The sequence below is a fragment of the Homo sapiens genome, chromosome 5 (genome assembly GCF_000001405.40).
Source record: "Homo sapiens chromosome 5, GRCh38.p14 Primary Assembly".
In the NCBI taxonomy this organism is placed as follows: domain Eukaryota; kingdom Metazoa; phylum Chordata; class Mammalia; order Primates; family Hominidae; genus Homo; species Homo sapiens.
In genome coordinates, this window is record NC_000005.10 from 116531046 (window position 1) to 116548960 (window position 17915).

The 17915-nt window shown below is 40.9% G+C and overlaps 1 protein-coding gene across 7 annotated transcripts in view; it reads right to left on the reverse strand.

Annotated features, from left to right (window-relative positions):
• SEMA6A (semaphorin 6A) overlaps positions 1–17915 on the reverse strand; it is a 131269-nt gene that overhangs the window by 87491 nt on the left and 25863 nt on the right. The window contains exon 1 of one of the 7 annotated variants that reach the window (XM_017009675.2): positions 5338–16688. The exons of the other annotated variants lie outside the window; for them this stretch is intronic. The gene's annotated coding sequence lies outside the window, so the exon portion shown is untranslated. Of the gene's footprint in view, positions 1–5337; positions 16689–17915 lie in introns of those variants that run through there. 7 annotated transcript variants of the gene reach the window in all.

Genomic DNA, 17915 nt, shown 5'->3' on the forward strand with positions numbered 1-17915 from the left:
ACTGGCTCTGAAGCTCACATTCTTAAGTACTATGTGTATTGCCCCTCTGATCATAGTCATTTCCCTAATCTTACCTTCACTAAACATTTAATAAGTGCCAATTAATCTATGTGCAGGGCACTATACTAGAGTTGAGTGTGGGGTTGGGGGAGGCGGTGGGGATTGGGGGGATCCAGAGTAGAGAAAAGGGGTCAATAAAGTTTTTTTAAAAAATGCAATCTCTACACAGTTCTGCAGGTCAGATGGACATGACTCAATGACTACAACACAAAGTAAACGCTGCACTTTGCAGATTGGTCCCTCCAGCTTTTGGGAATTGTAGGACCTGTAGTGCAGTGTCTCTGAGGCACGTGGAGCCCTCTGGATGTTTCACCCGGGCCCAATCTACCTTGTGTAAAGGCCCTCCTGTTCGACTGGAGACATTTCCCAGGACCTTCCTAAAAACATTCAAAATCTGGTGGTGAAAGTCCTTGTGTAAAATTTTGACGCTAGGTGTCCTCCATCCCTTGCTCCTGTTAGATATAGTGATTCCCAAGTTTCTCTTCAAAGAATACTTGGGGGAAGGGGGTTCTTGTTGAATTATTTCAGTATGTTCAGCCCTCTTATTCTTTGATTCTCCATTTTAAAGTTTAACGTCCTGGTTCTGTTTGCCCCCTTGCTTCTAGTTTCAGTAAACCTTTTCCACCAGTTTTAATCAGTAGTTCACATCTGTTCCCCTGGTCACCTGCTCTGTCCTGACTCATCCCAGTCACCTGCTTTGACCTGAGTCACCTCTGGTCACCTGCTGTAACCTAAGTCACCTTTAGTTACTTGTTCCTAACTGTCCTTCCCACCAAGCCACTCACCCTGCCACTCTGGCTCATACCCCTGCTCTCTTTAAAAGAGCCAACTGGAATTAGCTGAGACTGTGCAGTCCAACCCTAGCCAATAGGGGAACAACACAGAGGTAGGGACCACCTGCATCAGGAATAAGAACCCCTTCCCCTCCCTTGTTCAAGTGTGCTCTCACCATTACTGTATTTACAAGTCAAACGCTTCTATAGAAGTAAAAATTGCCTTGCTGAGGAAATTAAATTTATGTTCGAGTGCTATTTCTTTGTGGCACCGAGGAACAAGCATTTCTAACATTCCCAACCTCCTGAGTCAACACCATTTCTTGATGTGATTTATGCCAAACACTTAAGACACTGCTGTATTTTGGATGGATCAAGCCTACTTAATCTTTAATCCTAAAGTAGAAAGAAGCAACTGGGGGCCTTCGGTATAGAAAGTGGGGTCAGGCGGCCAACAAAGGGAATATGAATGTATATCCAAGTCACTGAGATACTTTTATGCAGGTGCAAGAAATTTATGTCAAAGTGGCCACAAGACTGTTTAATAGGAGACAGACAAATGTAACTCCATGTTTACTGCTAGAAACCAAAGTTTTGTGTGAAATCTTGAATTTATGGGGAGGGAGAGAGGGTAGCCTGTAACCTGCCTGTTCTTTTTCTGATCCCTCCCCCCCAGTCCTGAACTGCAGGAGATGGAGCCCCTCTGGGCTTCGGTGACCCCATCACTGGGGTGTGTTTATTTGATGGTTGATTTTGCTGTGCTGGACACTCCCTTTCCCATTTTCTAACCATCTTGTAACACATGCTGACTCTTTTCCCTTCCCTTCTCTTTTCCCTAGGAAAATCAATGAATCAGTAAAGACTTATCGGTACTGGAAAAGAAAAAAAAAAGTCCTCTGTATGTCACGGTGCTTTGTTATTCTCTCAAACTCCAGTGGACATTAATAACATCCCTCTGGATGTGGTTGCTCTGAAAGTGCCAGCTCTTAGCATTTTGTCACACTTAGCCAATTGTTAAGGTATCATTAACAGGGACACAGACAGAGATGACAGGTGTAAACAGTTTATAATTTACAAAGTGCAGGATCAGGTTTCTCCACCCCCTCTGCCAAGAGATCACAAACACATCTTAACTTGGCCCTGTGTAGGCATGGCAGAAATTCTTACAGGACTGTTTGAAAATAAATCCTATCACACATCTATTTGGTAAAGTTTTGGCCTTTTGATCTTTTACTGTTAATTCAAACTATGCAAAGCTTTGAGTTAATTGCTAAGTCAACATTTCAAAATGCTCTGTACAACTAAATACACACATGTGCCCTGGAACCCTCTGAATGGGCTTTCTACTCTATGTCATAGATTTCCTTCTTTGTTTTTCCTTTTTTTTTTTTTTTCCACTAGTCGTGCATTGGAGATGGCAGGTTTGAAATGCCTAACAGTTGAAGAGACTCGACACTGCTGCTCTGTGCACAGATGTGGGATTTCTTACACCTTTTTAGTCAGACCTACTTAGCTGCCTTTTGCATTTTTCAATGCTGACATGTTTCAGTAAAACTTTGACTAACTAGAATACTTGGGGGAAGGGGGTTCTGGTTGAATGATTTCCTGGTTAAACTAAAAGTTATTTAGAAAGCCCTTTTTATTGAAAATCTTTCCAAAGTATATCAGCATACTTTTCTCTGGAGCGAGGCGGCACTGTCAGAGAAAAATTGTACAGTATGTAGCTGTTTGGAAGGACTGTGAAACAAATTTAGCAAAGCTGCTAACTGCTTATCACTCCTTTCTCTAGCTGGAAAGCAGCACCTCTCAGTATCCTGAGGTAGCTAAACCCTACTACTCTCTTCAAAATTTATTTTGCCCTTTAAGCAGAAGCCTGGATCTTTATCAGGGGACAAACAAAGGTCCTGGGGCCAGCAGCCCTCACCTTTCATCCCTCACACCTCCAGGCTTCACTCCCTCCAGTCTCCACTTAGGTCCATGGCTGCCTCTCCTTCACCTATGCTGGGAATTCATTCTCTCCAGCCTCCACAAGGCAGCCATCTCTATGCCCTTTCTCTGGTAGTTTCATTCTCTCCCAATTCACTGATACTCCCTAAATATGCCTGTCTCCCTATTCCAAACGAACCTTTCTCTCCACCTTTTCTTCCCTTGAGGGAAAAGTCCTTTCCTTCATTGCCAAACACCTTCCAAGGGTGGGCACAACCTACATTTACTTCCTAACCTCTTATTCATTCTAAAACTATCTTTTTCTTCCTTCTGTAACTTCACCAAAACTACTTTCAAAAAGGCAATCAGACTATCTACTGGATCCTATGGCTTTATCTCAGCAAGCCTTATTGATTCTTCCTAAATTTAACTAGAATTCCTTCCCTTCCCTGTCTTTGCTGCCACCATTTTGTTTTGCTGAAATTCACATGTGTGCAGCATAAATCAGACCATGTCACTCACCTTCAGTGCTTCCCACTGCACTTATAACAACACACAGACTCCACATCTACATGGCTCACAACTCTGATGCTCAGCTCCGGAGAGCTCATGCCTCCTTCTCCACCACATTCCAGCCTGTCTTTTGAGTCCTCAAATATCCTGGAGCACACTCCGCTCCCTCTCCCCAGTGAAGTCTTCCCCTCACTGCTCCTGGCTGGCTTCTCCACCTTCAGGTCTTAGCTTAAATGTTACTGCCTAGGACAGAGCTTCTTTGACCAAATCATCATCTATGTGGGTTCCTGATAGCCCCTCCTCACCACACTGCTCTTTTTAATGTACCCCGTTCTCTCCTTTCATACTAGTGACCAGAAGCTGTAGTGGGAAATGAGCTTGTATGTTTACTGGATGGTTGATCTTTTGTCCCCGCTAGGCTATGAGTTCCTTGAGTCCTTGGATCATGTCCCTTTTTTCACTGGACACCCGCTGCTTAGCCCAGGAATGGGCACGTTATTACTGAATGAATGAATGAACAGATGAAGACTTTATACTTTTCTGCAGAAGGACTGTCTAGAAGGACTACAGAAATCTGACCAGACAAGTAACTCAAAAAAGAGTACCTGAAGAAATTCAAATTTTAGGTTTTGTAGCATTTGAAATGTCAGAAAAGATGCTAACTCATCCTTGCATATACATAAATCAGGCCTCTCAGCCTGGGGAAGAAAAGCATTTAGCATAATACAAATACATATCCTTTTGCAGGAAATACACAAACATTGTGTTGGGAGCAGTGACTAGGATGGCCTGAAGGAAGGAAGGAGGGCAGCCTGGCAATGGACTGCTGCTAGCTCAGTGAGAGGAGCACACAGCACAAAAGCCTGGAAGGAGAAGGAAGTGGAGTGATGGTGGGGAGAGTTTTACCCAGATGGGGAGGCCAAAGTTAGACCAACTAATAAGGTCACTGACCTGCGGGAGAAACAGAGAAGCTGGGTAGAAAGTGGGATGCAGAACTGCAAGTCCTGCACAACACAAAATTGTGTTTGCAGCTGGTTAGGGGAAGAGGACAGAAAGGATTTGGGTGGAGATAAATAGAAACTGCAGTGATGAGCAAAATGCATGGTGGCATGAGGAGGTTGCAGTAAGCATGTATGAGTAAGCAGCAGGAGTTCCTAATAAGTATGTGATCTTTGGAGTTTGAATGATTAGAAACTGTGATCAAGGTAATACCACAGTTATGCTAACTGTCCTATCCTATCAGCTAAGGTTCAAGGGGACCCACAAAGAATCACCATTTATAATAGATGTCCTACTAATTCCATGCGGTCCTGACACACCTTGAAAAACAGGCTAAGACTGAGCTGAGGGGGATGTTGAAAGAGGCAGCACTTTCAACAAATGTCCAGCTATTATATAGGTCATGTTATAACTGCAGGTGTGGAGCTTCTGCTCCAGAGACTGCTCCTATAAATGATTTTGTAAAACAGATTACACCTACTCTCTTGATTTTTCAACAATTCAGATTTTCATATACTGAGACTGCTTAAAGCAGAAGTCTTTTATGCCATTCTAAAGCAAGAAGATATGCTGGTCATTTTGCGTAGCCTTTTAGTTTTTAGGCATTTTTAAAATGCTTAAAAAATTAAATACCAACCCCCAAATAACTCAGTCAACTCAATTCTACTGACTCAAAAGGAAATGGTTTCAGATAAAGATGCCCACATGGCTTTTAGTTCAGCCAGTTCTTTCTAACTACAAGTAACATAATAATTTCCTTTGCATAGGAAAGTTCTTAGAATCATCAGTCATGAAAACAGATGTTGGGCACAGAGGTGAAGCAGCAGCCAGCATCAGTAAATTTGCCATTATTAACCGCCCACCGCCACCCTCAACCCCATTCCCACCCCCTGTTGGAATTGGATTAGCCTTCTGGTATTATTTTAAGAGTGATTGGAATTTAATTTTAGTTAGGAAGAACTGAGTCCATTGTTTACTTACAAACAAAAAAAAAAAGAATCCTCTCTCCAGCACTAGGATTCCTGCTTGGCTGGTTTTAAATAGATGAAGCTAACCAGATATTTACCATCAGCTTGGTGAAGAAAGAGACATTGTCCTGGGGAGCCCGAGTCATGGGAACTCAGTCCACACAGTAACGCATTGCGAACTGTAAGTGGACTATGACCAATCAAAGTCTCACTGTACATTTCACGGAGGTGGGACCAAAAGAGGAAAGAACAAAATCCCCTAAGTGCCAGCATGTTGGGAATGCATCATTGCAATAAAATTGTGAAACTAATGCTGGCAGGCAAACAACAAAAAACAACAACTGCCACAAACTGCAATATGCTTATCAGGGTCTGACCAAGAAGAAAGGCCCCCGATCTTCCACAGAGGACACTGGCACCAGTCCCAGGTCCTGCAACTCTTGAATAGCTCCATGTGCCGTGTTCTCTTCAGGTACTGCATTGTCCGCGGGAGATGTTCTCAGCAGTCAAGGAACAGCTGCACAATGCAAGCAGCCTCTGAATGGTCGAAAAGCTTTTTATTCAGTCCCCGTGTGATTTCTTAAAAAAAAAAAAAAAAAAAAAAAAAAAAGCAAAACTGGTGTTCTTTTGTGCTGTACAAAGGCAGCACTTTGCTGACTCCAAGTTCAAGACTCATGGGCTATTAGGAGAGGAAAGATGGACATTGTATTAGCATGTGTGAAAAAAAGAATAGGCGTTCCTTTAAACCAAGTCCATAATAAGAGCAGCCTGGTATTTGGAACACCTACTTAGCTGGAAGCAGCTCCAACAGCAGTTAGAAGGTAAGTGTTCGCAACAGTTACACACACATGCACACATGCATGCACACATAGAGACCCACCAACAGGGAAACTGCAGCATGTGTTCATAATAAATACATTTCTTGAGAATAGGGCAGTAAAAGAAAATACAATCACAGAAAAGTTAGAACTGGGAAGGATGTGTGAACTAAGAGGCATGTGACCTTACTTTGTAAAGAAGCTGTTCTTCCAGAGAAGTTAAATGACTTACTCAAAGACACATGGATACTTCATCAGATCAAGTTCTTAACACCACTTAGGAAGGATGTCCTGGTGCTTCCTGCTCTGCACGTGAAGCAGTGTTGAGGGGTCTGTGGAGACCAGGTCAGGGGTTCTAGCATCAGTCTAATCTGAACTAGAACCCCTAGGATATATCAGTGCTAGGGGTTCAAGTCCAGGGTTTCCAGTTGCATGACCTAGAGACAAATTCCTTTCTTCTTCAGAGTTTCAACAGATTTAACCCCCAAATGGAGATAAAGTAACTTGTGCCTTTACAGTTGCCACAAAGATTAATTGAACAAAGAGCCAACATTAAATAAATGTTGGTGACTACGCTTATTGCCATTAGGAGTAGCCATAAAGGTGGTATTTTCATCTTCTCAGAAATTTCAATACATTTAGAAAAAAAGAGAGAAAAGAAACAGGAAATACACAGAGAATAACCATATAAGTATGCAAGTAAGCATATGGGGAAAATACAGAGAATTAATATAGACAGGTGGCACAAACAAAAAGTTTAACAGCTTCATCTGCTCCTAAAAACTTGGAACAGGCCAGGTGCGGTGTCTCATGCCTATAATCCCAGCACTTTGGGAGGCCGAGGCGGGCGGATCATGAGGTCAGGAGATCAAGACCATCTTGGCCAACATGGTGAAACCTCGTCTCTACTAAAATACAAAAAATTAGCTGGGTGTGGTGGCGCATGCCTGTAATCTCAGCTACTTGGGAGGCTGAGGCAGGGGAATCGCTTGAACCCGGGAGGCGGAGGTTGCAGTAAGCTGAGATCACGCCACTGCACTCCAGCCTGGCTACAGAGCAAGACTCCATCTCAAAAACAAAGCAAAACAAAACAAAACAAAACAAAACACACAAAAAAAACTTGGACCAAATACTTTACACATGAATATTATGCCTCTGATCCATCTGTATGGGCTCATTGGTTTGAGTTTTTTTTGCAATGATAGGTATTTGTTGATCCTTTAAAAGCATTTTGTCTTCCTCAAAACAATTTATTGCTGAATATTTAATTTCATATTTTTTTTATGAGCAGTGGGTGTCCTCAACTTGGACTGCCAGGACACAACACCACTTTCTGTCCTGAGATGACAGACTCACGTGGAGCCACCTCAGTGTGCTGGGATAATGAATTATTTTCAGGTCCATGTTTTCCAAGGTACTTCTAGCCCTATTATTTTACATATGTCTTGAAGATCGTTCTGCTCAGAGGAACAGAATTTCAATTAGATGTGTTTTTGCCTTCAACAAAAGTTTGAAATTTTTTTATCTGTCCTTAAACTCATTATACATTTGTTAGAATGTACTTCTTAGTAGCTACTCTTTGTGTACTTATATTAAATATACAAATAATACATGGCAACCTTCTAATGATAAAATAAATAAATAAAATAAACATTTTAGACAAAACTAAAGTCCTGCTTGACCATCACCTTGTCACCATCACCATCATCATCTTGAACCTTTCACCCTGCAATACCCCTGGCCTATTCCACAACAGGGGCACCCTATTACCATGCTGTTTCCTATGTATTTTCTAGAGTTTTCTTTTCCTTCTTTGCCTTTGCTTGTTTGTTACAAATATCCTTTTTTTGTAAATAAATTATTGGAGTTGGCATATTTTTCACTGGAAGTAATTCATAGCAACTAAGAAAATATTTTCAATTGTGTGTTTGCAATCAAGCAAATTTTTCTCCATTATATAGAAGATAATTTCAGACATCTACACCCTATTCTTCTTATCTACCACAACCCAATGTCCCCAAAATGGCAGTGCTAGAGTTCAAGCCTAGACAATATTTATTTCTTTGGCCCTAGACAACTTTTCTCAACAGGCTTTTAGCTGTGACGATCTGGGCAAGCTTTATACGGTGGTCCTGCTTCCTAAAGTTGGAGGCAATCCTGGTTTGATTCTGTAATTTTTGTTTTTGTAGCTTTCCTTCTGAAGTATATGTCACATATTCCTAATTCTAAGGTTGCTAAAGATCTATAGACTATTGAGTAGGCACATAATCTGACGTGCTATGAAAGCATTTTCCTTGTTTTGCAATCTGAGAACAAAACAAATCATTGATAGTCATGACTTGTAAGAATCCTCTTGCCTCTGCAGCTGTACTGGGCAGTGTGCAGAGCTTCCATCCTGCTTCTTAGGTTGTACTCCTGAGAAATGGCTCCCTAGATTCTAGTATGGTTAACTTGTCCTTCAGTGCAATACATTTTAATAATTCTGTGCGTGTGTGTGTGTGTGTGTGTGTGTGTGTACTTTCTTTAATTTTACTCCTGTAATCCCCTTCAAATCACACTAAAATATACATAATAACTGATGGATTTCCTTCAACAACTTGATCTTCACCACTAGAATGGTTAAAACCATTTCCATCAGTGGTGGAAATTATTTTTCAGGATTTTTGCAGTTCAGATACTTTACATTTAATTATTATTTTACTTCTGGCCTGAACTTTTTGTTAACCTCTTGGTTTTTATATAAAATTTTAATTATTTAAGTCATGAGTCATGCCAATTTTTCTTCCCAGTGTATCTTAAACTCACAGGAGATATAGAATGCATTTTGCTTTTGTCTGGTTAAAGTAAAGTTTTAGTTTATTGAGTAAATGTACTTGGGAATTTTCTCATCTCACTATTTTCTGTTCGTTTTCCTTTCATTGCAAGTTCTTTTTTTCTTATTTTCTTGCGCTAAACTGCATACGTTTTACAAAACCCCTTTTCTTCCACTGGTTGGTTATGTAAAAGATTGATCTTTATATGCTCAGTCTGATATTTTTTCCAAAAAATGTGATAGGATTCAAATACTCATTATTTTCAAGGCATGTAGTTACATATATAAAACAGTATATTTTAAATTGGGAAAAGTATGCATTATCATGCCTTTGATTCACAATCACTTCAAATACCACTTTAAAAGTAGATGAGTAAAAATTACGGTAAATGCAAACCAAACTAGGCTCTGCCATCAGTACAAACTTATGCTTGCACAGCATGGAGGCTGTTTTCTGTCCCCTGCCTGTATGTTGCTTCCACCATTTGGAGATCTCTATCCCTGGATAAACTCCTGCTTTAGGTGTTCACAAAAGATCCCTTGATTTCTGGCTATAGCTTCAGTTTCTGGCCATTCCTCCTGGGAAGGCCTGGTCCCTTTCATACTGTGAAGTCTAGAAGACATGAATCCCCCCATCATTCCCACATGTCACTTTCATCTCTACTAGAAACATATATGGCAAGATAGGGGCTGGGGGCAGAGTTTGGCCCCACATGTCCCTGTTTGCTTGTAATCAAGCATCCCTCATATTTCCTATAGACTGATGTTGTGTATATGCATGTTAGATACCTATTTCAAGAGTGAGAGAGAGAGGGAAAAAAACTTGGCCCAAACTATCTTTTTTCACTCCAGTGTCTTCCTTGGCAGTTTATTCTCATCTAACTGGCACCAATACCTGCCAACAACTTCTACTTCGGATCAGCATCTTCTGGCACTTAAGATGGTAGTATATTTCTACATGGCTGAATGCAGACAGGAAAAAGTCTTGTGTAAATAATATATTCCATTAGCAATACTGAACTGATGTCAAAGTTCTCGATCCATCTCAAGACAACAGAATTCACAATCATGATAATATTAAGATGACAATGTAAGTGACTTACGGGGGATATTGTTCTGCCGCACTTGATACTATTTGGAAGAAACTACAGGAGTCAAATCTACATCATGTCTTTTTCAGGCTGCAAATGCTTGATAACATTCATGTAGATCAGCGGTGATGGGTGTTGGGGTGGAGGGTAAACACAACAGTTGAATCACATGCTAGCCTGGCTACACAGAATGCTAATTGGTGATATCAACGTGTCCAGTGCATTCTAAATTCAAAGTATGGCAGATTCAAATTAACACCACACATCTTTATCTAAACCTACTGTGTCAGTTTTCAGAAACCCTAGAGGTAAGAGGGGTAAGAATCACCAAAATTCTTATTTATTTTTTTCATGTTTACTAACATTCAATAACACTTGAAAGCAATGTTCTGAAAGGAAGCAACCACATACTAACATGACATAATAAAGTGTTAAACACTGTACATGTTCCTATACTAAGAGGTCACTCACACAAGTTCATTCTGTCAGTACTAAGTTCGCATTATTGTCATTACAAGTTCAAAGACTAATTAATAGTTAGAGCAGGCCGGGTGCAGTGGCTCACACCTGTAATCCCAGCACTTTGGGAAGCTGAGGTGAGCTGATCACCTGAGGTCAGGAGATCGAGACCAGCCTGGCCAACATGGCGCAACCCCATCTCTACTAAAGATACAAAAATTAGCTGGGCGTGGTGGCGTGCACCTGTAATCCCAGCTACTCAGGAGGCTGAGGCAGGAGAATCATTTGAACCTGGGAGGTGGAGGTTGCAGTGAGCTGAGATCACGCCACTGCACTCCAGCCTGGGCGACAGAATGGGACTCCATCTCAAAACAAACAAACAAACAAACAAACAAAAAATAGCGTGAACTCGGTAACATTTTACACATGAATGGGTATCTAGGGAAGAAAAAGAACGTAAGTTCTTTAAGATGCTTTATTTATCCAGTTATGAAGTCTCATGTGCAGAAGCACATGTCATATCTTGGCAAATACATTGGTAGTGCCCATTCATTTTCTTCTCCATGTTATCTAAGGACTCTGTCCCTGCTGCTGGGACAGTATCCTGGGGAACCATCAGGCATTTTGTCTCTTTGTATGCCCTCTTCATTTGAGATACAGAAATTGGTGTAGAATTTTTTTTAAGACTTTGCATAGGGAATCTCAGATAATTATTTCTTACATCCTTTACAGCTGTTACCTGCTAACCAAATCATGTGTCAGTCTGAGAATTGTGCACCAAAGTCTGCTACCATAACTGATCAATATTCTAGTGTTTATATAAGTTAGAATTCTGGACACTTCTTTGAAAAATAAAGTATCTTTTAAAGGACATTCAGCATTACCGTTTTTCTTCTTCATTACTCTATTGCACTTTATTTCTTCCCATGAGATCCCTCCCCGACCTTTTACAGGCATATATCATTTTTAATACCCTTTTCTAAAGGACCCTCGCTGTCCCTTTGTCTTTCATTAATGGGGTCCAGAGAATATTTGTTTTCTTCCCTGTCATTTACTTTAGACTGCAGAGAATTTAAAAGCACCATGGGCCATACATCTACTGCATCAAAGAAATGAAAACAAAATTTAGAAACCCAAAAAAGTCAAATATCACACTCTGCTAGGATTCTAAGAGAATCTGGATTTCTTTGACAGTGAAGTTTGATCATTTGCAGAAAGTGGAGCACCGCAAAACCTGTGAGGGTTACCATTATCTTAAACCCTGGTCAAGCTAGTTTCTGCATCACACTTAGAGAAACAGTAAGTGCCTGGGCTGAACAGCACAGTGCATAAGGAAGTGAGGGCAGCGGCTGTCTTCTGTTCAGGACTATTCTGTTTGCTTCACTTCCCCGGCCTGGCAATCACTTCCTTTAATTCCAGAGGCTGCTACTTCAGCAGCACTTGAACCCTTTCTCTGATTTTTTTTGGGGGGTCATTTTGAAGACAGCATCATTATTTTCCATTTGCAACACTGAGATTCTGTAAGTACATATATTTGAATACTCACAGAGCTCAAATAGCATATCATAAAGTTGAAGAATTTTTTTTCTTCTAAGCTCATAAAATAGTAGCTTTTCTCTTTCAAGAAGATGTCAATTTTATCTTTCAACTACTATGGGAGGGATGATTGGTTTTTCTGTGTTATGACTATAACCGGATTCCTTGAAGACATAGAAGTGCTAACTTTCTACTTCACAACTAACTAAATTTTACTTAATGTTTTTGGAAAATTCTTACAAGGCGCTTGGGTCCAGTAAAACCTCCTCCCCTGCTCTCTCCTACCTGGCCTGTGAGCAAAGCAACCCAGTTCAGAAAAGGTTCTCTCCCACTTCAAACTTCACTATGCTCACGTTTTCACGTTTTCCTATGTTCATGTTCACTGCAGATGTGTATTAAACTTCCATTTTTCTCTTGTTTAGTTTATACTGAAAATACTTTTTTCTTCTTAGAATAATTCTCACTACTCTGGAAACATAACTGGCTACATAGAAATACTGACTAATATAAAAACAATGCTTATCTCTAACATCTAGACCTGTCATCTTTTAGAATAAGGCCAAGAATTTCACCTTTTAATTCACAACGTGGTCAAGACTGATTAATACATGATGACTGTTTAATCTTCTCCAAAGGTTTACAATCCGACTAGTTGCATGACCCTTCAGGGCTGTTTTAACACAGATTAGGTAGCAGAAATACCACTTCCACATGCTGACACAAGTTTGTGCTGGCAGAAGAAAAAGAAAAGTAAATGGGACAATATGATAAGGCAAGCAGATGTGTTTGGATAATGTGGTCAAGCCTCAGTGCTCCTGACCAAGTCTCCAATGTGGTTAAATTGATGCCAAAACTAGCACGTTTTACTTTTACAGTAGACTTTGCAGGCTCTCTCTTCTCTACTTCTCTGTTAAGTTCTTTAGTCTTCTGAACTGCTGTTAAAATACATTTGCAAGGTCTTTGCTTATATGACAGTAAATGTTCTCTGTGGCATTACTAATACAGATTAAATGCACCCTAGTAGAAAATAGGAAAAAAGAATTCTCTTTGGCCCCTAATGAAATAACTGGGGTACTTGAATTTGAAGGCTCACCTTCCAACCACTTCCACTATGGGTGGTCTTTCCTTGTCAAAGTTAGTGTCTAGGATCACTGAGACATTTCCTTTCTGATCCACTTTCCTAAGGCTGGTGGATGCAGCACTGCTTGGATGCGGGGTCTACGGCATGGATGCAGTTTACAGAGGTCTCCTGAGGTCTCCCATCTGCCACACAGGATTGAGGTTTTTTGTTTGTTTGTTTGTTTTGGAGACATGGTCTTACTCTGTCACCTAGACTAGAGTGTAGTATAGCATGATCATGGTTCACTGCAGCCTCGACATCCTGGGCTCAAGCAATCCTCCCACCTCAGCCTCCCGAGTAGCTGAGATGACAGGCATGTGCCACCATGCCCAGCGAAATTTTTGAATATTTTTTTTTTTTAGAGATGGGGGTCTCATTATGTTGCCTAGGCTGGTCTCAAGTTCCTGGGCTCAAGTGATCCTCCCGTCTCAGCTTACCAAAGTGCTGGGATTACAGGCATGAGCCATTGTACCTGGCCAACTGAGATCATTATGTCAAAAAGTTGCAAGGACAAGAACAGATTTGTGATTACTGTGATATCACCATTTCTAGTCAATGTTTCTCTAACTTGGTATTTATTGCCTTTAGACTTTGGCATAAAAGGTGAAGTGGCAGAGGATTTATCTGCAGCCTCACCCTCCACTGATAGAGGCAACTATGCCAGGGGGAAAACAGTTTATTTACATACCACTGTTAAATATAGTGAACCCCAAGCTTCTCTTCAAAGAATCAATATGTCAGTATGTTCAGCTGTCTTATTCTTTGATTCTCCATTTAAAGTTTAACTTCCTGGTTCTCTTTGCCTTCTTGCTTCTAGTTTCAGTAAACAACTTTCCTTCCAGTCCTAATCACTAGCTCACATCTGTTCCCCTGGTCACCTGCTCCATCCTGACTCTTCCCCAACACCAGCTTTGACCTGAGTCACCTCTGGTCACCTGCTCCATCCTGACTCATCCTAGTCACCTGCTCTGACCTAAGTCACCCTTAGTTACCTGTTCCTAACTGTCCTTCCTGCCAAACTACTCACCCCACCACTCTGGCTCATATCCCTGCTCTCTTTGAAATAGCCAGTCGGGTTTAGCTTAGATTGTGCGGTCTGGCTCCAGCCAATGGAGACAGGACACAGTAGCAGGGACAAGCTGCGTAAGGGATAAAAATTGCTTCCCTCGGCCAGGCACGTGGGTCATGCCTGTAATCCCAGCACTTTGGGAGGCTGAGGTGGGCGGATCACCTGAGGTCAGGAGTTCGAGACAAGCCTGGCCAACATGGTCAAATCCCGTCTCTACTAAAAATACAAAAATTACCCAGGCGTGGTGGCAGGCACCTGTAATCCCAGCTACTTGGGAGGCTGAGTCAGGAGAATTGCTTGAACCTGGGAGGTGGAGGTTGTAGTGAGCCGAGATTGCGCCATTGCACTCCAGCCTGGGGGACAAGAGCGAAACTTCATCTTAAAAAAAAAATTGCTTCCCTCCTTTGTTCAGGTGTGCTCTGGCCGTGTTCCATCTGCGAGGAGCACCCTTTCTGCAGAAAGTAAAAATTGCCTTACTGAGAAAATTAATGTTCAAGTGCTATTTCTTTGTGGCACCAGGGAACAAGCATTTGACATTTCTAATACCACCTAGTGGGCTTGGCTGCTATGGAAAAATGGCAGCTCCAAATGGGAAAATGGAGACAAGAACCAATCTAGTCTTTGGATGAAGACTTGGAGATGCCATTCAAAAGAGGTGCTCCGAAGACAGGCATCTTTTTATCCTGCCATCTTCATGGCCCTATCTAGTTCTGCCATTCATCATAACTCTGCAGGGTTAATGGCATAAGTCCTCATTTGCCTTTTAAAGTCAAGGGACACAGTAGAGCTATTTCAGGAGGCTAAGGTGGTTCATTTTGGAAACAAGATGCTTCAGTAAAATAATAAATCATTTCAATAATAAGTATGTGTTGGAAACCAAGGGCAGAATCTTTGTTTACCAGAGTCAAAGCTCTAAAACCTGGTGATAACCATAATCCCAAAGGCCACTGAGATTAGGATCACTCTTCATATTATCAGGCTTTCTTATCTCAGCTCCATTTGCCCACATGGCCTTGGGGCTCTTACGCAAGTACTGGCTTCCTATGACACAGAGTCACAAGCTCAGAGTCACAGGCTTGTAAAGGTCCATGTAATGACTTCCCTGAGACACTCTGATTGCTTTACAACTTGAAAGATAAACTACTAACAAACATCTGTACATGCCTATAATGAGTTAGCTCACTAGCTAAAAAGTCTGCTCCTTCTTTTCCTAGGATAACCCTACTACTGCACCCCACACTGTATGTGTCCTCACATCTTGTGTCCATGTGTTCCTTCAGTCAGTGTCTCTCAAATATGAATGTGTATGCCAATCACCTGAAGATCTTGTTAAAATGCAGATTCATATCCAGGCACTCTGGTATCAGGCCTGAGCATCTACATTTCTAATAAGCTTTTGGGTGATGCTCATGCTGCTGGTTCAGGAGCAAGGCTTTAAGATTACTTGCCAAGCTGACTGTAGGGATGTAACTAGGTAATCACTGGGAGTTCTTTTGTGCAGCCATCAGACCACTGCCTGGAAAGCCCCCACACTCATTACAGATCCTGATCTTAACTCCCCTCCAATGAACATAACAGCACAAGGGAGAATTACAGGGCTTCCAAAACTCAGAGCCTGCAAACTATACTGAGCCCACCCATTTTCCCTGATTCCCTCTCCTCTCACTTTAACCATTACCACCTTTTTATTGCTCATTATCGCTAGTCTGAGCAAACACAGGCTTCAGCCTGATAAGCAATCAACTGACTTTTCCATATAGATTCTCATGAAAAACAAAAAGGAAAGGGAACAAAATGGAAAGGTGTTATATATTGAATTTATTTTAGGTTCCAACCCTATTTTTTTTCCTTAGGCTTATTGTCTGATTTCCATTAAGTCATTTCTGTTTGCTGTTTGCCTTTGAGTCAGATTTTCCTGGTACTCTAAAAGGACTTTAAAACAATTTTTTAAAAATCTATTAGCCTCAACAAAATTTATCTTTTTTGTTCTAGTGGCATTAAGTAAATGCTAGGTAGTACTGTGGACATGCATACAAGTGTCCTGAAGAGGTATAGCATTGATGTTGCTGAAATATCTCATATTCAATTTTATGGAAATCTTTGCTTTGATCCTTCCAAGTCATCTTTATTGAATTGCTAGCCAAAGCATGCACTAAACCCTCTGAATGTATTCATCCTACATTTGTATGTTTCTTTTTAAAGATTCAAACATAGAAAATTAACTCCTAAGAATTTGAAATGCCAGCAAATTTGAGACATGTGTTGTAGAAAATAAGTGGTTCTGACACATTATTAAGGTGAAAAGGCCAGTATTTTTAAAGCATTCATCATTTTCCCCTCATTTTTTAACTATTTCATTAATATTCTCTAAGTAACGTACTGGTTAAAGGCCTTTGTTTTATCTATTAAGGAAGCTTCTGCAACAGAAGCTTTTATTTCATAACAGTATTACTAACAAGCAAGCATTAAGACTGGCCAATAATGTCTTTGGATCTAAACCAGGGGATAAAATCCAATGATGTAAACTGCTATGTATCTGATACTTAAAAAAAAAAAAAAAAAAAAAAAAAGCCAAATGATCCCCTGAGTCAACACCCGTGAATGTAAAGTGTTCTGCAAATAAGGAAGGAACATGATCAGCACTGTTAATTAAGGTATATTATACTCAGATCCTTGCAATATGTAAGCTACACTTTGAGAGGAGCTAAAGTGCTTTTAGGGGCTACAAATTAATGCCATCTCCAAAAGTGCTGAACCTTATCCCCGGCCTCACATTTGTGCTGGGGACTCTGACCTTCATGGTAGCATGGTTATTTTGAAGACCACCTATCCTATCACTTACATTTACATCTGCAAACAGGGATGTCTGGCAGCCCTGAAACTTAATTTCCCACTTTGGGGTTGACCAGTCTTGAATTGGCTCCAAAGCTCTGTGGTATCAATACAGCTGGACACTACAGGCCAGTTATAATGCCTTCGCCTTCCTTGACGGCTTTCTTCTCTTGACTTGAGATTTGATTTATGGACCTTAGTTCTTGTTTCCAGGGAAGGCTATCACACTCTCGATACTGTACATTTAGATGCCATGCCCAAGGTGGCTGAACAGTAGTTCTCCAGACTCACGGTGCATTTCAGTGAACATCACATTTCTCATCACACTGGAGCAGAAAACTTGCTTTGGAGTGGTATATGGAGTGAAGTTCCAAGGTCCTGCTTGGGTTCTGGAGGGTGACTACAGGCTGTGAATACATCTCAGGGTTTCTGGGAGTCAGGAATTATAAAACAGGCTTCATGGTATTTGTGTTACTTTCAAGGCTTTTCTCAACTTATGGTGTATAAATATAATGCTGCATACCACGGAAAAGTTATTGTTGTGTTTAAACAACACATTTTTCATTGATATAGCTTCTTCAGCTCAAGAGTTTTAAGATATGTTTCCAAAAATCCCCTTTCCAATGGGAAAATTGAGGCCAAGGAACAACTGCCCACAGATTAGACCAAGTCAACAGAAGAGATAAGAAGACAACCTTATTCTCTCTGCCTGGATGGCTTCAATTCACCTTAAAACAGTATTGCTTTGCACAGTTCTGTTCTGCAAAAGAGTTTTATCCAATGGCATTATCCAATATCATTTTAAACGCTATGCTTAAATGAATGCTGCCTTGGAAACTAAAAGAATAATAGGACAGGCCTGGCCTTCTCTATCTGCAATTTCTACTTCTAGAAAGAAGTATACAACAAGTAAAGCATGATCTTGTAGATAGAGTACTC